This window comes from Homo sapiens, chromosome 15 (genome assembly GCF_000001405.40).
Source record: "Homo sapiens chromosome 15, GRCh38.p14 Primary Assembly".
In the NCBI taxonomy this organism is placed as follows: Eukaryota; Metazoa; Chordata; class Mammalia; order Primates; family Hominidae; genus Homo; species Homo sapiens.
The window spans coordinates 26,744,946-26,772,343 of record NC_000015.10 but is presented as its reverse complement, the minus strand read 5'-3'; the positions used below and the strand labels follow the sequence as shown (position 1 = coordinate 26,772,343).

The 27,398-nt window shown below is 39.4% G+C and overlaps 1 protein-coding gene and 1 long non-coding RNA gene across 4 annotated transcripts in view, besides 3 other annotated features; both read left to right on the top strand.

Annotated features, from left to right (window-relative positions):
* Positions 1-27,398, top strand: part of GABRB3 (gamma-aminobutyric acid type A receptor subunit beta3) — a 230,212-nt gene that overhangs the window by 1,420 nt on the left and 201,394 nt on the right. The window lies entirely within an intron of this gene.
* Positions 222-27,060, top strand: LOC112268151 (uncharacterized). Its single transcript, XR_002957720.2, has 2 exons — positions 222-5,020; positions 22,194-27,060. It is a non-coding gene; the product is annotated as an uncharacterized LOC112268151 (long non-coding RNA).
* Positions 4,745-5,334: an enhancer, noted in NCBI's record as "OCT4-NANOG-H3K27ac hESC enhancer chr15:27012157-27012746 (GRCh37/hg19 assembly coordinates)". NCBI's record gives its function as "activates a minimal SCP1, AML or CMV promoter by ChIP-STARR-seq in naive H9 embryonic stem cells {active_cell/tissue: H9 hESC(naive)}" and the evidence as "EXISTENCE:reporter gene assay evidence [ECO:0000049][PMID:30033119]".
* Positions 5,335-5,923: an enhancer, noted in NCBI's record as "NANOG-H3K27ac hESC enhancer chr15:27011568-27012156 (GRCh37/hg19 assembly coordinates)". NCBI's record gives its function as "activates a minimal SCP1, AML or CMV promoter by ChIP-STARR-seq in naive H9 embryonic stem cells {active_cell/tissue: H9 hESC(naive)}" and the evidence as "EXISTENCE:reporter gene assay evidence [ECO:0000049][PMID:30033119]".
* Positions 5,924-6,513: an enhancer, noted in NCBI's record as "NANOG hESC enhancer chr15:27010978-27011567 (GRCh37/hg19 assembly coordinates)". NCBI's record gives its function as "activates a minimal SCP1, AML or CMV promoter by ChIP-STARR-seq in naive and primed H9 embryonic stem cells {active_cell/tissue: H9 hESC(naive and primed)}" and the evidence as "EXISTENCE:reporter gene assay evidence [ECO:0000049][PMID:30033119]".

The window sequence follows — 27,398 nt, the reverse complement described above, 5'->3', positions numbered from 1 at the left end:
AGGCGTCCACAGTGCTGGGCCGGAGGCCTCTTCGGCCGGGGCCGAGTTTCCCCGGTCCGCAGAGGGAGCCGCGCTCCCAGGCGCCGGCCCCTCGCTTGCCCGGCTCCCTGCACCCGCCCCGGGCGCTCGGGGGCCTGGCTGGCGTCGGAGCCGCGAGGGCGCACCCTTCCTGCGGGGGAGTCCTGGCCGGCCTAGTGCTCCCATCTGCCGCTGCCCGTGGGCTCCCAGCTCCTCCAGCGCTCTGTCGCCTGGTCCCGAGGTTTCCCGAGCGCTGTCTCGCCTCCTTAGCAACAGGCGCTGGGGAACCGGGAGAGGCGAGATGTGGGGGTGGCTCCTATATTCTAGGTAAGAGGTACTTAAGGTTTCCTTTGTTGTCGTTTGGAAAGAGATTCTGGCTGCAGGAAAGGGGAACGAAGACAGTGGTCTGTGCGTTCCAGGGGTGTCTCTGCGGTTTTTCCAAGGCTGCCTCCTGGACTGGGAGACCCGGGCCCGGCACCGCCAGTCTCTGTCCGAGGTGCTGACAGGCTTCCGCTGCTTCAGAGAGCGGGAGGCCGCGCCTAGGCGGGCTCTCAGAGGAGCCGCTCTACCGGGAGAGTCGGAGGCTGGTGACACAGTGTCACTTAGGTCTTCTGTGAATGCAGACTGGATTCAATATTCTGACCTGTGGGAAGCGGAGGTCAGTACCCCGAGGTGCGAAGCGGGCTTTTGCCAGGAGTGCTTTAGGACGCCAGGGAATCAGGAGAAGGATGGCCCTTTCATTTGTTAATTGAGCTGAAACGCCGTGGGATTTGAAAACTAGTTTAGTTTTCTGCGGAGGGACACTCTGGAAGGAGCATTTGTAAACAATATTTGTTTTTTGGAAGAAATTGTTTGGCAACTTTTCTTTCGGACATACAACATTGAGAATACAGTGAGACATGGTTTTAGATCCACTCTGTAGGCTTCTTAACTCTCGTGTACGTCGGAATCACGTGGGCAAACTTGCTTTAAATGCGTGCCTGCTAGTTCCTCACTCCAAGGGATTCTGATCAAGATAGGCTGGAGTCTTGGGGTCCCTGCATTTAAAACTACTTCTTCAAATATTTTGAAGCGGGTATTTTGTGGACAATATTTTGAGAAACTTTGCAGTAAGTCACAGATATATGAATATATACAAATAAAGTAAAACTATTTTTAAAAATAGACGTTAGTGAGATACTTTTAAAATACCTACCACTAAGGATCTTATAGGAAGAAACTTTTGACCACGCCAAGCTGTTCTCATTAATTTTTCACTGTTAATCTAAAGCTTTTAAATTTACAATCCCATGTATTTAAAAATGTACTTTTTTCCAAAGTATATCACTTAGGACATTTGTAAGTCAAATATTGTATCAGTAAAAGTGTTAGCAAGGAACACAGAAGGAATGTGACTGCATAAATTACCTTACAGTAAAAATTAACATGTCTATTTTACTTTTTATGTAATACTATAAAAATAATTTTACTCAAAATGTTTGTTTTATGTTTATAAGGAAACAAGTTAATACATTTAAGATCCACACTGTGTGATCTGTGATTTTCTCAACTGGGGACTTCACATTCTCTAGAGAAGACAATTTAGTACAGAAGTTAATTGATTATTTAGTGGATTATTATGTCAAAAATAATTATGTCAGAGGATGGCAGGTGGAAGAGAAAATGTATTGATTTGGCCCTTTAAGAACTCTACACAATAGTAAAATAATTCGGGGAGTGAGGAGAGTGTGCTGTTGCACACCATCACATATTTGTTTGAATTATTTTTTAAACTTAGTTTTCCAGTTGTTCTGGCATCATGCTGATAGTTGGTACGTTTAAAAACTTCATCAGTGTTTGCCTAATTTGTAGTCTATGATTTGAAGTGTCTCAATTTTCTCTGAACCCAGTAAGAGAAAGACAAATGGAAGATACAGGCCATTGTATTGAACAATCTTTAAGTGTATATTCCATAGCCAACAGGTATGCATAGCATGCCAAAATATACTTGTACGCATTTTTTTTGCATTCTTATGACAGTAATTTTTCTGGCTCTGTAAACACACACCTATTATAAACAAATATTGAGGATCCCAGTAGGATTGGAGACTGAAGGCTATTGGGCAGATGTGAATGTCAGCCATTTAAAATGTCTTCCTCCCACAAGCAGATTGGTCACGTCATGTTTTAGAAAAATCTGATTTTCCTTAAAATATTTGTGCATGATAATAGCTATGGTATTTCACCTGTTCCTAAAGGAGCCTCAAATAGAGCAATGGTTAAATATTTAGGGACTCACGTTTTAGAGGGGAAGAACAGAAAATATATAAGCATAGGATTAGAGCTGCCACTCAGTCAATGTTTGAGAACAGTAAAATCTATTCATGAGCTTTATTAATCACCTTACTGGTCACACAAAACTAAGTGTGGTAAGTTATGAAATTCAATAATAAATGGTCTCACTTTAAGTGTGTTGTAACTCTTAGAGCAGATATGACAAACGGTTGTTCACAGGTAGGATGTGGCAAGTCCCATTAGAGGAACAAGTGACAGAGGCACACAGAACAGAGAGGGAGGGAGGAGGAGGGACGAGAGAAGCTGGCTGGGAGGAAGGAGGTATTTGATGTGGAAACTTTCATGAAATAAATTATATTTAAATTGTGTGAGGGGTATGAATAGAATTCTGACTGGCTTACTTGAAAGAGGATATTCTGGGTTAGGAAAGAAAATGGCAGAGTTACGAATGGGTGGATGAGCAGGATCAGAGATTTAGAAGGGGAGATTCCAGAGACGAAGTTGGAAAAGCAAGACAAACCCCTGTGCACCTAGGCCGTTCTGCAGGAGGCCAAGGGCTTCACATGATAATTTCAGGAAATAAGGAGCCTATAAATGGTAAAGGTTTTAAAGCAGGTAATTGACATGATTTGAGATGTGGCGTAAGATGACTATTTTGGCCAAAAAGTTAATTTAGATAGAGGATTAGCGATGGTGAGGTAGAATGAATGAGGGATAACTGATCTTGGAAGATTCTTTCTTGAAATTTTCTCCTCAGGTTTTGATAGATGCATTTTTGAAAACGTGTATGTAGTGAAATAAATACAAATTCACCAAAGTTCAAAACAAGGACTTTGAAAAACACACGTATCTCAAAATGGGGAGAGATGTGTATGCATTTGTTCAAGAGTTTTTTTAGTGTGATTGCAGAGAACAGTAACAGATAATACACAACAATGATGCTGTTGTTGCTTTTTGCTTTAAACAATTGTAGACTCCAGTCCTTATCTACTGGTAGCCTGTGTAGATGATGCCTCCAAAAAATGTCTCTGATCTCAAATAAACACATATATAGATCAGTTAAGCATGTAAATGCATATCTCATCATTCATTTTGGTGTTTTGTGGAAACAATCTAGGAAGGGATTTGAATGTTTTAATATTTAGCATTGGTTTTGCCATAGCTTGCTTCATGGATAGTGGAGTTATGCATTTCCAATTTTTTTCTAAATCTTTTAATGTTTCTTTTCGTACATTCTTTTTTTTTAAAAATTAGTTGACCTGATACTTGTCAAAGAAAATTTTGTTTTGTGTAACTTCCCTCTTGTTTCTCTTAGCCCCTGTTTAAAATTTTAGATAATCTATAAAAATTATACACGGCTAGATAATTATTGAGATTTAGTTTGTATATTTCTATAAGTGAGATTGCGTATGTCCAATAACACTGTCTGCTGAAAATTACTGTGTGTGTTATAATTTTGGTGCTTACCAGTGGTTCTAGGGAACAATAAATGTGTTGAGTAGATAGATGAAGAGATCAACACATGGGAAAAACTTTGCAAGTATAGGAAACATAAAATATTGAAAAACAAAACAATTAGGGATTTTTAATTTAAAAACAGTATTTTAAAATATGAGTTTTAAAAAATTTATTAAAATGAGCCATTGTTTGATCTGTTAATTTGGAGAAGTTACATGTACTTACTTTTTACTTCATTAACTATCTGGTATTAGGGACATAAAACTAGATTCAGACTCTAGTGATAGTAATGATAATTCCTGTGATTTAACTTGCACTTCGCTATTACTTCATACTTAATTAATCCATTAAAATTAACTCAATCCTAATGAAAGTGTAACTACAGGACTTTTTTTTTCTCATTTCATGTGTATAAATAATAAATTATTGTTTTTTGTTTTTAAAAATTAGAGTTCCTTTTGGGTAACATACAATGTGTATTTTTAGTTATCATGAGACATACTCATCCATTATGCTAGCTGTTTTGTGTGCACTTCTCACTTGTTGCATTTTCTTATAAAATCCATTTTTTTAATGTGTAGGTGTGAAATAAGTGTGCATATGAACATAATTTTAGCACATTTCAAGAAGCAGCTTTGTAGCTGTATCACTACTAAATGGATACAGTCATACCCATGTACAAAAATCACACACACACACATTTGCACTATTATTTTATGTTTTTCTTCTTTTTAGAAGAGGGGCAAAGAGGAGAGGCAGATTCAGGCTAGAGTGAGCTAGGGTTAGAGGTTTGGAAAATGCAGCTTTTAGACATCTTTTGACTAAATTTATGTTAATTAGTCCTCCTTCCCCCTACTTCAGGGTCTAGAAGCTGCTTTGCCTTCAGTGAGTGCTGAATGAACACAGTGCATCTAGTCCCTGGCCAGGTTCTCAGGCAGGAGGAGCTGAATCCCAGGGGTCCATGTAGTGTGTTTAAAAAAAGCCTTACAGCATTGGGAGCTATGGGTTCTGTTTCCAAGTCCCTGGGAACGTCTAGCCTCAGGCAAGTCACTTAATCCTCAGGAATTCAGTCGGAGGTTTCCAGATGCCCATTGTGTGGGGACACAATTGATACCAAAGTGATATCATAAGAGGCTGAGCTCTACAGAGAAAATCTCAGTGAGGACACCCACACTATCACATGTTAGCAGGCTGTCCTTTACTGATTGCTTCTGGAGAGCCCTGGGCCATATTCAGAGTTTGCATATGAATTGCTATTAGCAGTTTAAAGGTAGGAAATGCGCTAATGCTCTTATTACAAAGCACGCTGGGGGATGACTCAGCAGAAAGGAAGCGTTTCCCTGACCCAGTTGGGGTTGGAAAACTGCTTACATGGAAGGCACTTCAGGGGTAAGGTCCAGGGTGTGTGTCTGTGCTTGGCTCTAGGTTGCTCCATTTGGGAGGTAAGGGTGTTTATTGAGCACATTACTTTTCACTGACAGTATGTTTCATGCATAAGTTATGATCATACATCAATGCTGGGGCACTGATAAGAAAGCATATAATGAACTTCAGAGATGGAAGACAATAATACCTTATATAATACGCTCTTTAGTAAGAGAGGCTTGTGTTTAATATTAGAACGTACGGTATAGAGAGCAAAATGAGAATGCTTTTTGCCTTTCCCCTCAGGAAGGTTGTAAAGCTTATGTTACATCTCTTAAAAAAATGGATCTTACATGCATGGTCCTGTTGTGGATGGCCTCTTGCTTGAGCCCGTGCTGGGCTCTAGGATCTTATGGTATGTTGTCTTTAGTTTGACATGATGGGGCAAATCTGCTTATTTACATGTAGTTAAAAGAATTAACTACATGTAAATAAGTTAAATCTGGTAGGTTGCAGTTGGAGTTGCAGTTGACAAATTAGGACTGGTGTCTGTCTTTGACTCCAACATTTGGTTTTTCCAAAGATAAAATATTCTGTTTATATTTCCTTGGATAATGGTAAATAAAATGAGTTCCAAAAGATAGCTGTTGCTTCTTGGACTACTTGCCAAATGAAAGTATCTTGTAGATTTGGTCTTCATTTAAATGAAGAATGGAGTAGATGTTAATGAGGAGGGTAGTGTTCTTTTAATGAAATGCATGCAGGAACAAAAGAAATTGAGAAGTGTCAATAGCAGGTGTAGAGTTCTCCTAGGGTGTCACATCTCTTGGAAAGAAAGGCTCATGTTTGGGACTGCAGACTTCTTGATTTTCACAAGTAATACCATCTGAATTCATCAACTGACTTTTCAGAATCTAATATGGGTGACAGCTCTTCTTTTTCGTCTATGAGTAACTGAACCTTTCTTTCTCATAGGGGTCTGTGTCTTATGCATGCTGATCATTGCATTTTGATGACTACCAAACATTTGGAATAAATAAATGAAGCCTATCAGACATTTGAAATCTTTTGTCATTCATAATGAGGTGTGACCTAGGGAGTTGGTAACTAACAGTTTTACACCATTCTGCGGTTTATAAAATGCTTCAGGTATTATGTCACATTTGATTATCAAACTTGACCCATCAGCTGGTGAGGTAGGTAATAGAGGTGTTAACCTCATCTCCATTTTTTTAGATGAGGAAATAGGCTCAGAAATAGCACCGACTTTCTTACTCTTACTGCAGGACAAAGCTGGGAACTGGTTCTGCTTCTTTGATCTTTCTACCTCATCAAGCTACAGGACAACAAAAGATGCTCCATTAAGGGCTCACAGGACTTTATCTTCTTCCATGACCTTCACTGCTATCTAAATTAGACATTTCCCATTCTGCATTTCTGTGAAAACTTATTCTTTCCTGCAACACTTATTATAGTGTTAAATGTTCTTTGGGTGTGGTTGTTTGCTTAGTCTTTCTTCTCCATCTCTCTCCATTAGAGCATACACTCCGTGAGGCAGGGCTGTTTCTATGAGCCGTTCTTTGCATAGGATCCAATATTCAATAGATACGAATATTTGTGGAAAGGAATATATGAATGAAGAATAAACAAATGAATAAATATATAAGTGCATGAAGAAAGTGATATGTAAATTTCCAATGAAATGCTTTAATGTCTCGGAATTTGGGCTCAGGACAAAGAAGAATCTTACAGGCTAAATGTGATGTATACAGTGTTTACTTTAGAGGACATAATTCAACCATAATTTGTGTGATTGTACCCAATTATAATACCACCAACCAAAGATCACAAAGTCTGTAAAGTATTCTGTAGCTGGTACCCCTTTCACTGGGGAACTTTTATGCTAATTTCAAAGCAGAAAGAAGAGTAAAGGATTGCAGTTTCTCTCAAAATTTAGCATATGTAAGCGCTGGTGAGGATATTCTAAGCACCAATCACTGGTACCTTTGTACACCGAAAGTTTTGTGTCTCCTTAGAAAGTATATGAGGGTGGAGCTTTCGTATATTATAGGGAAGTTTTGACTTTTTTTTTTTTTTTTGAGTCGGAGTCTCGCTCTGTCACCCCGGCTGGAGTGCAGTGGCGTGATGTCGGCTCACTGCAAGCTCTGCCTCCCGGGTTCACGCCATTCTCCTGCCTCAGCCTCCCAAGTAGCTGGGACTACAGGTGCCCGCCACCACACCCAGCTAACTTTTTGTGGTTTTAGTAGAGACGGGTTTTCACCGTGTTAGCCAGGATGGTCTCGATCTTCTGACCTCGTGATCCACCTGCCTCGGCCTCCCAAAGTGCTGGGATTACAGGCGTGAGCCACCGTGCCTGGCCTTGACATTCTTTTTATACAGGGATTCTTTGGGCTATGTCTTCCCTTCCGCCTGCCCACTCAGCAGTGCCGTGGAGCAGAGGTGGTTTTCATTTGTTTGCAAGTTTCTGGTGCAACTTACTTCTGGGCCATTTATGCCAGCCATTAAGAGGATTGTCTAGCTGCAAAATTTGGAAGAAGAGGACTAAGATAGGTCTCTTGGCGATTTGCTCAGTGCCATTCAATCAAGATAGAGTGAGTCTCTTGATCTCTGTAGCTGGAAATGTAGATTGCCCCTCATTCCTTTGTAGTCAGGAGACCACATCCAGAATTAGAAGCCATGTGTAAACGTTAACTAATGTATCTCTTTTTGCATTTTTCCACTGAACTTAAACATCTCACAGAAGCATTTACTACAGATATCAAAAACTTTGGCATGTGCGGTACTAACATTTCACATGAATAAGAATAAGATTAAGATCTGAGAACATCACAGTTCTTTAAGTGTCCTAATTTGTTTTTAAAAGAGGATATGAATTCTATTGATTACATCATCATCATGTTTTACCCCAGTTCTACAATAAAAGAATTCCTTTTATGTAACTGCTGAATCCACATGCCATGATTCATGACACTATATATATATATATATATATATATATATATATATATATATATATATATATATATATTTTTTTTTTTTTTTTTTTTTTTTTTTTTTTGAGACCGAGTCTCTCACTGTTGCCCAGGCTGGAGTGCAATGGTGCGATCTCAGCTCACTGCAACCGCCGCCTCCCGGGTTCAAGCAATTCTCTTGCCTCAGCCTCTCCAGTAGCTGGGATTACAGGCTCATGCCACCGTGGCTGGCTAATTTTTAAATTTATTTTTAGTAGAGACGGGGTTTCACCATGTTGGCCAGGCTGGTCTTGAACTCCTAACCTCAGGTGATCCACCCGCCTCGGCCTCCCAAAGTGCTGGAATGACAGGTGTGAGCCACCATGCCCGGTCCATTTGTTTTATTTTATTTTGTATTAACTTTAAAGATTACAAAATCTGCTAGCTTAAAATGATATAACCCTGACTGTGTTTGCCATATATGTATAAAATATTTGTCAGTTAGCTCAACATCACATCACTGTTCTTTTAAATTTTATTTTTTTGAATAAGACTTTACAATAATTAGTTTTAATGAGTAGAAGGAACAAGTTTTCTGGGTCATCCATTATTCCATGGTGTGTGTGTGTGTGTGTGTGTGTGTGTGTGTATCTATGCAGACCAAAAATGGTTGTGAAAGAACAAAACCAATTCGGATAATTTATTGTAATATTGTTAATTTTTGCCAATTATGCTGACTGTAATTCTCTATGTGAGAGATAAATCCATATATCAGGCCAAAAGTATACTAGAATGGCCACAGAGCACAGTTCTTGCCATGTAGGATATGCTTGGTAAATATTTGTCGAGTGAATTCTTGGAGTCAATGGCCCTTGCAGTAAAGGTGTATCTTTGAACTGTTTTATTGCAGAGATTCTCTTTTTTGGGTGTTTAGCCCATAAAAATTAACCGTAACTTTAAACATGAAGATCCCTGTGAACTTGTCCCAGAAAAAATATCTGAGTTTTGGAAAACAGTGCCATCCCTATGACCCAGACCAGTGGTTCCAAAGCTATAGGCCAAGAACCCTTGGGAGGCGTTGGAGTTACTGCCAGGTGCCCTCCAAGAATAATTTCTCACCACTGATACACACTGAAGGCTCAGAGTCCACAATTAGGGCAGAGCCTGCAAAATGCCTTGCCTTTCCAAGGCAGTATGCATCCTAGAAAGGGGGCGGGGATACCTGTCTGAGGACCTGGATTGATTGTGCGATATTCTTTGTTGAGGCTCTTAAGCATTCTGCAGTTAACTCATTGGTATGAGGGTATATTGGACTGTGCCATTGAATGAGTTTTCATTTCTGAATCTTTCTTTTGATTTGGCCCTGGGCACCAAAATTCCCTGTGAGGTGTCATTCCTTGTGGCATGGACTAAAACAATGGTTGCTTGGAGAACACCGTCCTATAGAATGTTAATGTGTGTCCTGTAATCATTCCTTGTGAGATGTCATTCCTTGTGGCATGGACTAAAACAATGTTGCTTAGAGAACACCGTCCTATAGAACGTTAATGTGTGTCCTGTAATCTAAGTGTTTCTGCTCAAATAATATTGGAAATTATGGCCAACACATAAAATAGGTTTCTTTGCTGCAGGAATTGTCAGGTTCTTTAATACATTAATGATTTTGCAAATCTTCATGAGGGGGTGAAGAATTCAACGTTTTCCAGATATATTTGACTGGAAATTTTTTTTTCTTTGTGAAGGGGTGAGGGGCCCTTAATTAGCACTTCTTCACAGAGGTTTTGGTAGAATACAGTTTAAGAAATATGGGGCTAAAGGATTGAATCAGAATGGTCTTCCATATTAATGACAATAGCAGAGAAGAGTACTGTATTAGCAAAGCCACTTTGACTGACAGTGCCCACATCGTTGAAGGCAAAATTTTGACAAATAATCTACTGGTTTACAAGGAGATGAGTGATATTTTGCAGAAATGAAGATTAAAGCACTTGTTATAATTAATTGATTTTAAAAAATAAGATATTTTTTGTTTTACAGTAACAGTCTCTGTGACATTGAGGGGAGGTTTGTATGTATTAAGCCTTCTTATGTTCTTGTACCTATTATAAGAATAAATGATAAAGAGGGCTGGGTGTGGGGTTTTATGCCCGTAATCCCAGCACTTTGGGAGGCCAAGGTGGGCGGATCACCTGAACTCAGAAGTTCATACCAGCCTGGCCAACATGGCAAAACCCCATTTCTGCTAAAAATACAAAAATTAGCCGGGCGTGATTGCACTCTCCTGTAATCCCAGCTGCTCGGGAGGCTGAGTCACAAGAATCTTGAACCCGGGAGGCAGAGGCTGCAGTGAACTGAGATCGCGCCACTGCACTCCAGCCTGGGCGACAGAGAGAAACCCTGTCTCTAAATAAATAAATAAATAAATAAGAGGGATAGAGGTGTGTGTTGAAGAGGAGAAAGTGCAAGAGGCGTCAACAATAGTAGCTTAATTTGGAGAACAAAATACGGCTCCCTGAAGCTACTGGGCGTGGCCGTGGTTGGTAGCCTTGGATACCTGGAGATTCCTCCTGGGGGCTGTGGCAGCAGAGGAAACAGGCAGTGCTCAGACACTGCATCCCACTAGGGAGAGTCCCATTCCATCTTTGAATATATTCTATTATATACACAGGTATGGTGACATGTAATTTATATTATATACAATGAGAATATATAGTATAGTATATAATTTTTATATCAGATATATTTACATATAAAATGAAATTCTGTTTGGATGAAAGATTCTAGTGATGAAAGTATTTGGCCTCCTCTGGAGGAAGTCATCCCTAAAATTTCTCTTATGACTAATATTGTATTTTTTTTTTTGAGATGGAGTCTTGCTGTGTCACCCAGGCTGGAGTGCAATGCCATGGTCTTGACTCACTGCAACCTCAGACTCCCGGGTTCAAGTGATTCTCCTGCCTCAGTCTCCCAAGTAGCTGGGTCTACAGGCGCATGTCACCACACCTGGCTAATTTTTTTGTATTTTTAGTAGAGACGGGGTTTCACTATGTTGGCCAGGCTGGTCTCGAACTTCTGACCTGGTGATCCGCCTGCCTTGGCCTCCCAAAGTGCTAAGATTATAGGCGTGAGCCACCGCGCCTGGCCTAATTTTGTATAATTCTATGAAGAGTGTATACCTGTTCAGGAATAGTCACTAATAGTAGCTCGGGGGCAGATGTATTTTCTGGACTGTTCTGTAAAGCACAGTACTCTCATAAGAGGACAATATTGATTAACCACCTCTGCAGAGGCCTCTCTGGGACCTGGCCTGTACTTGGCTCAGAGATTGTAAAAGGCTGGTGATCATGGGTGAGTAAATGAAAGCAGATCCGGAAATTCAAAGAGATTCAAAAATATTAATTAATTGTGGTGGGTTTTTGTTTGTTTGCTTGTGTGTGTGTGTGTGTGCGTGCGCGTGTGTGTGTGTTGGCATTTAGAAGCAGAGAAAACCAGTTTTTAAAAGAAGCATTCTTATTTTCGAAATACAGTGCTTATCTATGTGTATCTATATCTGTATCTATATCAATCAATCAATCAATTATCCATTTATCTTTCTTTTTCTCCTTATGCCTGGAGAACCACTTTTCAATCATAAAATAAAGATAAAGTTTGAAGCAATACTAAATATGCTAAATAAAACATGGTTCTCCAGGCTTAAGATTTTACTCTATTATCATAAACTGTTTGGAATGTTAATTATCTAGGCAATTTCCTCCATACTTCAGGGTATTTTGCCTTTAGAGAACATAGAGGGTTTAGCTTTCAAGCTCACCCTCTGCAGTAGAAAATCTGAGGTGTAAGAGCGTTTAGATCCCAAGGAAGGGTTTGTGTGAACTCTGGCAAGTCGTTCAGACTCAGTTTGATCATCTTTCTAATGAGGGTGCTGGAATGGATGCTCTCTGAGTTGCCTTGCAGCTCTGATTTCCATGTTTCTTAGAGTCCGTAAGCTGTTTGAAACATAAGGAGACCTTCTATTTGCTTTACACAGACCACAGCTTCTTGTCATTTGATACTGCATGTGGTTTAATTGGTTGTCCACATGGTGGTCAGTGGCACGGAGCCCATCTCCTCTGGCAGCTTGCAATTGTGTTGTCAAAGCATGGTGGGTGTAGAACCCGAAAACTCTTTCTTCAGGTTCCCTTTGCTGTATGCTATGAGCCTCAGCTACTTTGTACATAAACAGCTGGGATTTAACATCCGAATCCATGCTCAGTAATTTTCAGGTCTCAAACATAGTTGCATCAGTTTTTTTGGTCTGAATTTAGAATTATTAGTTTGTGAATAAAACCTTCAGTGAGCTATTCAAATGTTTCTCTTGTATCCAAAGCATAACATTTCCCTTATTACCTAAGAAGAACCATCCAGTAGAGAAGTACCTTAGTTTTTGTTGTTGGGTTCCAAATTGTCCATATTCAGGTTTTTTAGAACATTTTACATACATTTAATTCATGCACCATTTTTTAATCTTTTGTGGTATTTCTGTAACAATCTTAACATTCTTTGAGTTCATAATCCAGATCAAAAGGAAGAGGACAGGGGTGTGGTCAGTATCGTCTGCAGTGCTGCACTCGGCCAGTGTGGGGCGAGGAGCCAGCATTTAATGCAGATAATTTTAAGCTTGGATGTCAATTATGGCATCTCTACAAAAAATAATGTTTTGGCTGGGCACGGTGGCTCATGCCTGTAATCCCAGCACTTTGGGAGGCCGAGGCGGGTGGATCACGAGGTCAGGAGTTCAAGACCAGTCTGGCCAACATGGTGAAACCCCGTCTCTACTAAAAATACAAAAATTAGCTGGGCATGGTGGCGTGTGCCTGTAATCCCAGCTACTCAGGGGGCTGAGGCAGGAGAATTGCTTGAACTGGCACCCGGGAGGCGGAGGTTGCCGTGAGCCAAGATTGCGCCACTGCACTCCAGCCTGGGCTACAGAGCGAGACTCCATCTCAAAAAAAATTTTTTTTTGCTATATTCTATTTTTTTTTATTCCTAGTCTTATTAATGAAAAAATTTTATATACATAAAGTCCGAGCAAGTAAACCGCTGCAGGTGTAGAGATGAAGACTTTGGTCTGCCTGCACCAGAGATGTGCAGAGAGACCAGGAAAATTGCTTGATTTTATTATGTCATAGGAAAAAGGTGGATGTGCAAATTATTAAGTTTTAGGAAACTACCCAGTCAGGATTAGGATTATATAGATCCAAATGTGGAGTGTGTACCAAACTTGGAAGTAGCCAGTGACCCCCACAAACAATTTCCAACTGTTTAACTTAGGTTTTTCCGCTGTAGATGGAATCCTGTTGGTAATGGATTTAGTGTTTGTGTGGAAGAAATTACAATGTAAAGAGAGTAAATAAGTCATTTGCGCTAATTTACCACCTTGACATAATTTGTCTACAATGGTGGTGTCACATATGTTACTTAAGGTTGTTTTTTTTTCTTTTTTTCTTTTTCTCTTTCAGAAGTATGGCTGCTTCTTTCAAAGTTCAGATGCTTACAAGGGGAATGCACTTTGTTCCCAATGTAACCAAATTAGCACACCTGGGGTAGAATCAACTCTGAGAATTGGTGGGTGGGTATAGATCGTGGGCATTGGTTGGTTTGTTGAGATTAAGAAGAAAAGGTCAATTAATGGGGCAGATTGTCCTGCACTGGTTCTCAGCTGCCTGCTTGAATGACATTTACCTCTCCTTAGGAGATAAGCAGTGATGGCTTTATCTGCTGGTTTCTGTCTCCAAGTTTGGATACCTCATGAGTCTGTTTGGCTCAGTATTTTTTCTCTTTTTATCGCATCTCTGAGTTTCTAAAATAATTAAGGAAAATTCTCTTCTCCAACATCCTTCAGAGGAAAGCAGATGGAATTTGTTAAACAAAGGCTGACAGGAAAGCAAGCCTCTGTTAATTGACATCTAATTTCCTGATATGGCAACCTTTGCCCAAGACTATATTTGATTATGCAATAATGTGCAAACAGAAAAATCAGAACCTGCTCATGCTGCCATATTAATAGGAACCGTCAGTCAGCCAGAGAGGGACTCACATATCAGACTTACATATTACTAAACTATTTTCTGTGTATTATCACAAAAGCGTGAATGTTTCTAGGTTGCACCTCTACGGTTTTTTTTTTTTCTGTATGGCTACTTGCATTATAAAGGAAACTGTGAAAACAACAACAATCAGAACAAAACCCTGAAATGTAAAACAAAACATGTTAGAATTCCATTATACTGATAGTGGAGCCCGTTGAGATGGTAGAGAAGAGGGCTTGTAAGGGACTGGTTTTGTGAATATGTATGGCAAAACACTAGTTTTGATGCTTCACAGTGAAGTGCTGTTAACTAATTTACACTTACTCTAACAGGTTAGTGCAAAGTGAGCTATATAGAGAGAGATTTTTAAAATTCTAGGCTTATCAAAGCACTTTGCATTTTGTAGGTTGACAGTGGGAGCTAACTGGAAGGAGGCAAAACAGTGAACTTTGCCATTTTTGATTTTCAAAATACATAATGTCACTGAATAATTACCTCTGGTATTCTCTGCTATGACTTGATTTTTAGTTCAATTGCTCCGTGTTGATTAGTGTATTCTTGTACTGTCTCTTTCCTTCTAAATACTTAAGCTTTAAGAGGCAGCTTAACTCTATTATAACTGCTCTTGTAACTAAATGAAATGTCCAGTGACATAAATCCAAGTGATGATAGTTTGGGATTTTCCACTTTTTTAGTGCCCCCGTTCAAGCTTTGCAAGTTTGACTTGTGACACTCATAAGTCCTCAAGGCCACATTAAAGTTACTGAAGAAACTCATGAAGAGAATGTTTGGTTTGAGCCCAGGAGCGAGTGAGCAATGGAGCGCGCCAGGCAAGGAATGTGTGAAGAATGAATAATTACAGCTCCTAGGGACGCTGTTGGGCCGTGGTTGCAGGGCAGGAGTGAAGAAAGGGATGAGTTTCTGGGCACTTGGCCTGGGGAGCTGACACTTAGTCCACAGCAGACTAGAAGGCATGGAAAGACCCAAGGGAACCACGGTGGGATACGAATAGCAAAAAATGGTAAAATTGGTATAAGAAACAGGAATTTTCTTTCTTTAAATACTTGGGAGACTGGGATATCTTGCTATGTTTCATCAGAAGGTAGATATATACCAGTTGCTACTGTGCCCAAAATTAAATTCTATTTAGTTTAGCTCTTAGTATGTTTATCCCTGATACAAGTGAAACCACTGGGGGTTTTGACTACCTGAAATGTTTCTACCATCATCCTTCTGGTGGCAGCCATGTTGGGTACATAGTTTCTAAGAGGGTTACAACCTGCAAGGAGCTGGTGCAGAAGAATCTCCAGGGGTTTTCAGAGCTGCAAACTTATGGGGTGCTTAGACACCTGCTCTGTTCAGATGTGATGAAAGGGAGGAAAGCAGGTAGGAGAATGGTTAAGTGGAAAGAAGTGAGGCAGACATTCTCCTTCACTTAGCTGTGAACTCTATACATGATCTGTACACCCCATGGGTTTTTATACATAGCACATATGTGACTTTATACATAACACATATGTGATATTACATTTTTATATTTTTTTAACATTGTGTCAGGTGCAGGAACTTTTTGCCTGTGTGGAGTGTTCTGTACTTTAAAAATTTTTTTTTGAGACAGGATCTTGCTCTGTCGCCCAGACTGGAGTGCAGTGGTGTGATCTTGGCTCACTGCAACCTCTGCCTCCTGCGCTCAAGTGACCCTCCCACCTCAGGCTCCCGAGTCACTGGGACTACACGTGTGCACCACCACACCTGGCTAATTTTTCTATTTTTTTTTTTTTTTAGTAGAGAGGGGGTTTCACCATGTTGCCTGGGGTGGTCTCAAACTCCTGGGCTCGTGATCCACCCGCCTCGGTTTCCCCAAGTGCTGGGATTACAGGTGTGAGCCACCATGCCCAGCCTGTTCTGTATATTTAAATTGTGAAATGAAGACCCATCTGGAGTCGATAAGATCATTATTTAGGAAATTTGATACTCATTACTCTTTGACTGCTTCTACAAAATAATATCTATTATTTTCCAAAATTAAAAAAAGTTGTCATGAAGAAAATTTTATAATATGTGAATACATTTGGATGTATTTCTTTTAGTTTTTCATGCACATTTAATATGTATGCACTATTATTTACACACTGTACATACAAGTTACTATCATACTTTTACATGTAACTTTATATTATAGATACTCTTGTGCTATTAAATATGTTTTACATTTATTGTAAGGGCTGTATAATATTCCCTTGACTGGCCAAATAATGTATTTTACTTAGTAGTTTTCTATTGTTGGACATTTAGATTACTTGCTCTGATTTGGTTGACTAAATAATGTTTTGATGAATATCTTTGTGCCTAAGTTACTGTATGTGTTATGGATTATTTCTTTGAGATATATTTCATTAAATAAGATTACTGAGTCAAATGGTATGAATATTGTTTTCAGGTTTTTTATCCATGTAACCAAGTAGCTTTCAAGAAAAGATCTTTCACTTTGGGCTCCCATTGGAATGTCCAAGAATGTTCTATATCTATACTTCTAGAATCAATTTCTATTAGTAAATGGGAAGACAACTGTAGCCCAAAAAACATTAGAATGCAAAGTAAAATTGAGTTAAATCCCCAGATATTCTGAATATTGCCATTATTCCAACATCATCTCATATAATAGTAAAAAATAGCATATACTTTCATTTTACATTAAAATTGACTTTAATTTAATTATATATTTGATATTCTGATAGGTGAGCAATAGAATACACATGTTCAAGTCATTGTTTTGGTTTAGTCATTCAGACTAATTCTAATTTCCGCAGTAAATCTTACACAAGAAAAGAAAATGTTTCTCAGAAGTCAGGCCTAAGAAGTTGGGAAAAAAATTGTTAGGGGTGGCCGGGTGCGGTGGCTCACACCTGTAATCCCAGCACTTTGGGAGGCTGAGGCAGGCAGATCACAAGGTCAGGAGATCGAGACCATCCTGGCCAACATGGTGAAACCCCATCTCTACTAAAAATACAAAAAAAATTAGCCGGGCATGGTGACCTGCACCTGTAATCCCAGGTACTTGGGAGGCTGAGGCAGGAGAATCGCTTGAACCAAGGAGTTGGAGGTTGCAGTGAGCTGAGATTGCACCACTGCACTCCAGCCTGGTGACAGAGCGAGACTCCGTCTCAAAAAAAAAAAAAAAAAGTTGTTAGAGGCTCTAACCATTTTTATCTGGAGTTCCATATGGTCAGATTCTACCAAGGGATTTAAATCTCCGTTTAATCCTGTGTTTTATCTCCACGGCTGAGCCGAGCCTCGACCCCTCGGGTGTTTGAGTGCATGACACAGTGGTGAAATAAAGTGTGGGGAAACTGAGGTCTCAGGCTTGGCACTGAGAGGAACCCATCATCACTGCACACACCTCTGGGGTAAGGGGTCCTCCTTTGTGTCGTTGCCTTGATCTTTGTTGGAGTGCAATGAGGGTGTGCCAAGTGAGCACCGATTCATTGGAGGTGTTGTTTAGTGAACCATTAGTTTACTTTGCCTACATGGGTAACATTTTCGGAGACTGTTTTCCATGTAGTTAATGAGAAAAAAAAAGTCAGACATCATTTAATATGATTCAAAGTTTGGTCTACTGATGCAGAGACAAAATGTTAAGTGGCTATTAACATGTAATTGGGAAGGGCATTTGGACTAATTTGGATTTTTCCACATTGATTGTGAAATGAATCAGTAACTGTTTTTCCTCCCTACCCTAATTCTTACTCCTTCCAGCATGCCCAGAAAAGCAGCACCTTGGTGAAATCTGCTCAGAAGGGACTTCACATTTCTCCAAGTTTCTCAACTACTTCTGATCTCTCTCTGTCTCTGTCTCTGTCTCTCTCTTTTCTTGTTTTACATTGTCAGGCATTTGAGCAAAGGTGCTCTTCTGCTTTCGAGAACCCTTGTTGCTGGTCGTCTTCTCTCCCTCTCTCCCATTCTTACTCTTCCTTCTGCTCTTTCAGAAATTTTAGTTCGACTCGTGCTTAATTGCCTGATTCTGCCTCCCATCTTAGGCAGCAAAGAAATCTGTTTCAAGTCCCTCTATCTCCTTTAAATCATGGGTTTATGTTGCTTTTTTCCAGCCTTCCAAAAGTTGCTGGGGAAAACATCTGAAGCAAGCCCACACACTGGAGAAAATGGTCTCTGATGACAAAATGTCTCCTAGTAAATACATTTATTATTTTATCTTCATCGTCTTCACCACCCAGAACATTCTCTGTCCTCAAGGCCTTCATCCTAACATCCCATCTTTGCTGATAGTTATGGAACTCAAGTTCTGTTTCCATCAGAAGACCAACAGCATTGGTTTACCTGTAGCCTGCCCTCGCCCCAGACCAGTGTATTTCTCACAGAGATGCTGCTCCCCATGGAATTCACCTCTCTACCCACCCTGTATATTCGGCTTTTCCTGTACCCACATTCACTGTCTCCTTTCTAAAATGATAGCTTCTTCTCCATCAGGTTCTTTCCTTTAATCTTCATATAGGAAATAGAAAGTATCTGTATTTAAAAGAGACTGGCCAATCCCTTTGCTTGGCTGCACTGCCTCTAACGGTTGAGTTCTTTTTTACAACCACCTCCCACCATGTATTTCTGGACAGTTTCTGGGACCAAAGTCAATAACCAGGTCTCCTGAATTGTGCTTCACTTGTCACTCAGTCCCAAAGATCATCTTCTTCTCTTTCTTCTTTCTCCAATATGTAATTATTCACCCAGTCTTGCCTAGTAATTTTGGTAATATAGTGAAGACCGCTCCTTTTTTCCCAGTGCCTCAGCGTGGAGCCCTCAACTGCAGTGGTCTCTGATCTGTCTTTCACCTGTGAATCTCCTGTGGTCTGGTTCCTCTTACACAGTATTATCAGTCGATTCTTCTTGCCACACCCAGCGTAGGTAGCCCTCACGGCTCTACAGTGCCCGCTTGATGTGTGTCGTGAAGGGGTAACTGGAGCCAGTGTCTGCGGTGACGGGACACTAAGAATAAGGACCAGCTCCACCATCTGGGGAAAGTGCCTGTGGACATCCGGGCAGCCCTCAGTGCCTGGGGCAGCTCAGAAGTTAGCTCAGAAGTTAGGGAGTTCTGAGGTTCTCAAGAGGTATCAGAGCCTGCAGCACCATTTGGTCAGTACAAGAAACAAGATTTAGCTTTCTTTCTGAGAAAATGCCAGAACAATAGAAGAACAATAGACACCTCAAGCACGTGTACTGGTAGTGATGCTATTTTGATTGAGGTGACCAGAGGCAGAAGAGGACCTAATCTTCAAGGAAAGCATTGCCCAGAGAAAGAGTGCAGTGGGGCAGACAGAGCCAGATGTTGTCCTGGCGTGTAGCGTCCCTCGGAAGGAGGATGCTCTGGAGAGCTACTGTACAGCGTGCCAACTGTAGTTAATAATAATGGACATGTGAAAATTGCCAAGAGGGGATTTTAAATATTCTCACCACAAAAAATGCTAAGGATGTGAGGTGATGGATATATTCATTCGCTTGATTATACCATTCCACAACGTGTAGACACATCAAGGCCTGATGTGGTACATCATAAATATGTACAGTTTTTATTCATAAATTAAGAATACACATGAAAAAACACTTATTAAAGGAGAGGGGCCGGGCGCGGTGGCTCATGCCTGTAATCCCAGCACTTTGGGAGGCTAAGGCGAGTGGATCATGAGGTCAGGAGATCGAGACCATCCTGGCTAACACGGTGAAACCCCATCTCTACTAAATAAACAAAAAATTAGCTGGGTGTGGTGGTGAGCACCTGTAGTCCCAGCTACTCGGGAGGCTGAGGCAGGAGAATCTCTTGAACCCAGGAGGTTGAGGTTGCAGTCAGCTGAGATTGCATCATTGTACTCCAGCCTGGGTGACACAGTGAGACTCCCTCTCAAAATAAATAAATAAATAAATAAATAAATAAATAAATAAATAAATAAATAAAATAAAGAGAGCAAGCGATCAATTCTGAAATTTTGAGAGTCTGCAGGAAGTCTCTCCATGTCTGCTAGTTGCTGATCACCCTTCCCTTAGGTACTGTGGTTACAGGGAGAACCAGAAAGGAAAGACAGAAAGAAGGTGTGCATGAGGAGGCTCTTGGTGTGCTAGTTAAATAACACTAGGTTGTTGACTTTTAAAAAATGTTTTAAAGCATGCTGTTTTTTATATAGAACAATTTATTTCTTGGGAGAGGCAGACATGCCACCTCAGATACATTTATATTTTTCGTTTATTAGCCCATGTTTCCTCCTTGCCAAGCACCCATTGAAAGCCATGTTACATAGTTTGCCTGAAAATCAGCAATGCATGTAAGGTTTCTACTTTACTAGTGTGGTGCAAGAACATGGCTTTTTTTCCTAAAAAATAAAAATCTGAAATTAGCTAGGAAAGGAACAAATTTGACAGTATGAAATCTAGAGAAATGAAGGCATGATTTATGCTTGGACCAAAATTTATTTACTGGAATGCTGAATCAACAGTAACATAAAGGACCCCCTTATGAGGGGTCCCCCAACATAAGGGACCCCTCATTACCAAAAATACTAATGAGTTAGACATACTATTGATTTTTTTAAGGGTGCTTTGGAAATAATAGGCTATAATGAAAATTAGGAGTGTAACATCAAATTCTGAATCAGGAGGAGGCAGTGGAGGTGGTTACTTTCAGATTCTTTATCTCATGATCTTCTGTGTCTAGAGAGCCCTTTTTTAACGAAGGAAATCTGATCACTGCACTGTTATTACTGCTGGGCTGTGTTTCAGGAGTCGGAAATTGTAGCCTTTGGAACAATGCAGCTTTCCCTCTGCAATTGTTCTGGACACATTCCTGAGCATCTCTGGTTTGAATTTCTACAATGTAATTGTTGCCAGTTGATGTTTAAAAGGTTATTATTTTAAATATTTGATTAACATGGATAGTAAAACGTGCTTTGTTAAAGAAAGAAAGGAATCCTGTGAATTCTAGATAGCCTTATCATCAGAAACCATTTTTTCCCCAAGTTGACTAACATGGAAAATACAAAAGCTCAGATTTTGAAGAACTTTTGTAAAAACGCATCACATAGTTTCAGCATTAGCAGTTCTTCAATCTTTTGTTATCTGGAAAGATTATAAAAATCTAGAGATTTCACTATTCTTAAGTGTGAATTGTATTTTATAATACATAATTTTAGAGGAAAAAAAGGGCCAAATACTGACTTGTTACTTGAGGGACTTAAGAATAAACACATCTGATTATATCATAATGAAATCTGAAAATAAATGTTTGGCAAAATGTCTGTAATTCATGATAGAAACTGAGTTTCATTAAGTAATTAGCAAAAAAATGTACTTTTTCTTATTCATTCAATATAACAGCATTGCCTTGACTTCTTCACTTTCTAGCCTGCATCACAGGTTTTTTTACAGGCTTTCATATCTCTGGCAGTTTTCTACTATTTATGAGTTGAGCATTTTATGAAATTCTATTTGTTTCAATTTAATAATAAAGCCATTTTACTCTAAAGCAGCTTCTTGCATTAACTTTTCTCTTCATAATCAGCTTAAATTTAATGTAAACACACATTTTAGTTAATCTTAATTCACTTGTCTCTGAGTATTCTGCCCGATTCTTATTATTTAACTGAGCATGCCTCGAAGATAGGTACCATGTCAGCTGGTCCCTTTGCTTGACACACAGCAAAGAAAATTTTTAAAGCATAATTTATGCTTTCCTAACAAAAAAATTGACATTTCCATTATATCATACAGTTTCTCAGTTTGAGTGGGGAATACCCTATTCTCTGAGCAGTTCATCTAAAAAGCAACGGAAGGGCAGTATCTTGGTAGTGAATGGGGTCTAAGCCTTAGTATTCCACTACTGCTAATTGAGGGCTTGGGTTGAATGGATAATTAACACCCACAGTTTATTGGAAACCTCATTTTAGTAAGTAGTTTTAACTTCTTCCTTCACTGAACCTCTCCTAGAGTTGCTAATGTATAGCAACATGGACTGATTTGAATTCCAACTCCTTTAATTTCGCAGCCTTCTTTCTGTTGGAGGTGCTTAGAAGCAGGAATACAATCAAAAGGCGTGAAGACACAGGGGAAGAAGAAATCGAAGAGAGAATAGAAACAGTTAAAAATTTTTTCTAAACAGATTTCCAATTCTGGCCAAGATGGAATAGTGCCATTCCTCCCAGGTCCTTCCTCCTGGAACACAAAACTCTGGCCATAACACAACAAATAAACACAGGAAGAATCTGAAGGTTGAAAGAGAAAGGCAGCTTGCCTGAGAACCTCAGGACTTGAGGAATGATGCTGCGTTGAGTTCCTTAGGTTTTCTTTTTGCCTTTCATGTATCCCAGATACTGCTCTGGGAAGTCTGCAACCTGACACTGCTGACAAGCAGACAGACACACAAACAAACAAACACCAACAAAAAAGCCCCCGCGAAAGGACCAGGAAAAAGATGGTCTAAGAGCACAAAAAACTTTTTGATAATGCCTACCCTACTCCAGCCAAACACCATCCAAAAGCTGCATGCACTTCCTCCTCGTTTCAGCAGTCAAGCTGGGAGCTAATCTTTCACCCACCACTGAGTAGAAACAGGAGGATGTGCTCCCAACATACAGAAGAACCAAACGACACCATCAGTCAACAGGATTTGATTGACACTTATAGAACATTTTACACAACAAAAGCAGAATAAACATTCTTTTCATCTGCCCAGAGAGCATTTCAGAAGATAAACCATACCATGAGTCTTAAACAAACTCTAGTACATTTAAAATATTAGTATTATACAGTTTATGTTTTCTAAGCATAGTGAAATCAAACTAGAAATCAGTGACAGAAAGATAACACTAAATCACTAAACACTTGGAAGTTAAACAGTAAACTTTTAAGTAATCCATAAGTCTAAGAGAAAGTCTCAAAGAAAATAAAATGATACATAGTACTGAATGAAAATGAAAATGCAGCATATCAAAATTTGGAGTGCACAGTTAAACCAGTGCTGATGGTGAAATTGTAGCACTGAACGATTAAAAAAAAGAAAGAAAAAAAAACTCTCAAATTTAAGTCCTCAAAAACTAGTAAAGGTAGATCAAAACAAACCCAAACCAAGCAGATGATTTTGTCTTATTTTTATTTGTTTATTTATTTATTTTGAGATGGAGTCTCATTCTATTGCCCAGGCTGGAGTGCAGTAATGCTGTCTCCGCTCATTCACCCTCCACCATTTGGGTTCAAGTGATTCTCCTGCCTCAGCCTCCCAACTAGCTGGGACTCCAGGTGCACACCACCACGCCTGGCTAAATTTTGTATTTTTAGCAGAGACCGGGTTTCACCACGTTGGCAAGGCTGGTCTCAAACTCCTGGTCTCAAGTGATCTGCCCACCTTGGCCTCCCAAAGTACTGGGATTACAGGCATGAGCCCCTGTGCCCAGCCCAAACCAAGCAGATGTAAGAACATTATAAAGATAAAAGAAGAAATAAATGAAATTGAAAACAAAAACCAATAGAGAAAGTTAATCAAATAAAAATTTTTATCTTGCCCCCCAAAATCAATTAATTTGATAAACCTTGGACAAAAATAAAAAGAGAAAGACATCAATGTCAGGAATGAAACAGAAGCTATCACACATCCCACATACGCTTAAAAGAAAATAAGGGAATACCACGAACAATTTTATACATATAAATTCAACACTTCAGAAAAAATAGACCAATTCCTTAAAAAACAAAAGTTACTAAAATGTACCCAAGATGAAGTAGAGAATCTTAGTAGTCCATTAATGACTAAAGAAATTGAATTTGTAATTAGAAGTTCCCAAAAAAGAAATCTCTGGGCCCAGATAATTTCGCTGGAGAATTCTATGGTACATTTAAAGAAGAATTATTACTAGCTGTATGCAGTCTCCTCTAGAAAATAGAAGAGGAGGGAACCATTCCCAACTAATTTTACGAAACCAGTATTACACTGATACCAGGAAGAAAGACAGTGTACTAAAGGAAATCATGGAACAAAATCTCTCAAGAACAATGGCACAAAAATTCTGAACAAAATATGGGCAAATCAAAGCCAGCAATATCTTAGAGGAATTATATGCCATGACCAAGTGTGATTTATTCCAGGTGTGCAAGGCTGTTTGAAGAGTTGAAAATCAACCAGTGTATCCACAGTATTGACAGGCTAAAGAAAAAAATTGTAGGCAAAAAAAAAAAAAAAAAAAAAAAAAAGCATTTGAAAAATACAATACCCATTCATGATAAAAATTGTAAATAAAAAAATAAATTATCAAGACTTTTACAGAAAAAAAAAGAATAGGGGAGAATTTCCTTAATTTATAAAGAGAATCTACAAAAATCCTACAGCTGTCATTATAGTTAAAGGTGAATGACTGGATTTTTTCCCCCGATTGTGAACAAGGCAAAGATATCCACTTTCACCTATCTTATTTTAGCTACTTTAGTAAAGCACAGGTGATAAATAGAAAACATACAGATTGGGAAGGAAGAAATACAACAGTCTCTGATTGACGTGGTTATCCACATAATAAATCCCAAAGAATTTATATAAAAACTTCTGGAACTGATAAGTGAATTAAACAAGATTACTGGATACAGGATCAACACAAAAATCAATCACATCTATATGCTAACAACAAATATGTGGGAACTGAGATTAAAATAAAGACATAACATTCAGAATCACTCTAAGAAAATGAAGTACTTAGGTATAAACTTAATAAAACAAGTGTAGAAACTGTATGCTGAAAAAATGCTGTTAAAAGAAATGAAAGAAGACCTAACTAAATGGAGAAACTTCCCGTTTTCATGAATTGGAAGACTTACCATAGCAAAATGTCAATTCTCCACAAATCAATCTATAGTTTTATGCAGTCCCTATCAAAGTCCCAGCAAGGATTTTTGTACACACAGACAAACATACTCTAAAATTTATATTGAAGTCTGGGAGAAGGGGATTTATACTGAAGTCTGAAGACAGGGATTGCATAAAAGCTATAGACTGATTTGAGGAGAATCCCAGTCTGGGAGGACACTGTGGGGGAACATTCTGCACAATGGTTACGCTTGCTATATTACCACAGTAGTCAATGGAATAGAATAGTCAATTCAGAAATAGACCCACACAAATATGCCCAACTGATTATTTGTTTGTTTGTTTGTTTGTTTATTTATTTTGAGATGGAGTCTTGCTCTGTCGCCCAGGCTGGAGTGCAGTAGTGCGATCTCTGCTCACTGCAAGTTCCGCCTCCCGGGTTCATGCCATTCTCCTGCCTCAGCCTCCTGAGTTAGCTGGACTACAGGTGCCCGCCACCACGCCCGGCTAATTTTTTGTATTTTTAGTAGAGATGGGGTTTCACCGTGTTAGCCAGGATGGTCTCGATCTCCTGACCTCGTGATCTGCCCCTCTCGGCCTCCCAAAGTGCTGGGATTACAGGTGTGAGCCACCGTGCCTGGCCACCCAGCTGATTTTTAACAAAGGTTCCAAAGCAATTCAGTGGAGTGCCTTTATAACAGTGGTGATGGGCAAATGACTTTGACCTAAACCTCAGACTTACACAAACTCCAAAAAAAAAAAAAAACAAAAAACGGACTTAAATGTAAAATGTAAAACTTCGGAAAAAAACATAAAAACATCTTTAGGACATAGGGCTAGAAGAAGAATTCTTAAATTTAACACCAAAAGCATGATTCATAAAAGGAAAAATTGGTAGACTGAACCTCATCAAATTAAAACATTTGTTCTGCAAAAGACTCTAAAGACTCCGTACACTTAGAAAAAATATCTCCAAACCATGCATTTGACAAAGAACTTGGAGTATATAAAGAATTCTCAAAATTCAGCAGTAACAAACAATCCAGTCAGAAAATGGGCAAAACATATGCACTGACATTTCAGGAAAGAGTATATACAGATGGCCAATAAGCACATGCAAAAATGTCCAACATAATTAGCCATTAGCAAAATGCAAAAAAAAAGCCACAGTGAGATATTCCTAAACACCTATCAGAATGTCTGTAAGAATAATAAAAAAAAAGTGACACTGTTTAATACTGGGTAGAACGTAGAGAAGCTGGATTGATCACTCCTACGTTGCTGGTGGAAATTAGAAAATCATACAGCCACTCTGGAAAATAAGTTGGCAGTTTCTTATAAAATTAAATCTGCAGTTACCTTACAACCCAGCAATTGCACTCTGTGGCATTTATCTCAGAGGAATGAAAACCAGTAGTCACACAAAAACCTATAAACGAATGTTCACAGCATCTTTATTTTTAATAGCCTGAAACTGGAAACAAACTAAAATTGTGAATCGTTAAACAAGCTATGGCGCATTCAAACCATGGAATTCTATTCAGCAACAGAAAGAAACTATTGCTACAGGCACCAAATTGGATGGCGCTCATGGAATTATGCTTATTAAGCGTAAAGGTTACACTATATTTTATTTACATAATTATTATGAAATAATAAAATTACAGAGAAAGAGGACACATTAGTGGTTGCCAGTGATAGATGGCGGAGGCCAGTGGAGGAGGGGTGTGGGTAAAGAAGGTGACACCCGGAGCCTTGTGATGTGAGAAAAAAACTGAGCCCAGGAGGTCGAGGCTGCAGGGAATCTACGCCTATGATAAAATTGCATAGACCTATAGCTGTTCCTGCCCACATATGAATACACACCCACGAGTGCATGAAATCCTGGTGAAATCTGAATGAGGTCGTGGATTGTACCATATCACTTTCCTGGTTTTGATATTGTACTATAGTTACACAAGATGTAAACACTGAGAAAACTGGGTATGGAACCTCCCAGTACAATTTTTTTTACAACTTCTTAAGAATTTATTTTTCTTTCAAAATTAAAAAAATGTTAAACTTTCTGAAAACCTATTGAAATAGTTTGAATATATGTTTCTGCCTAATCTCACGTTGAACTGTAATCCCCAGTGTTAAGGTGGGGCCTGGTGGGAGGCGTTTGGGTCATGGGGACGAATTCCCTCATGGCTTGGTGCTGTCCTCATGGCTGTTAGTGAGTGAGTTCTCACGAGATCTGGTTGTTTACATGAAGCGTGTGGCACCTCCCCCTGCCAATCACTCTCTTGCTCCTGTTCTCGCCAAGGGATGTGCTGCTCCCACTTCACCATCCACCATGAGTAAAAGTTCCCCGAGGCCTCTCTAGCACCATGCTTCTTGCATAGACTGTGGAACTGTGAGCCA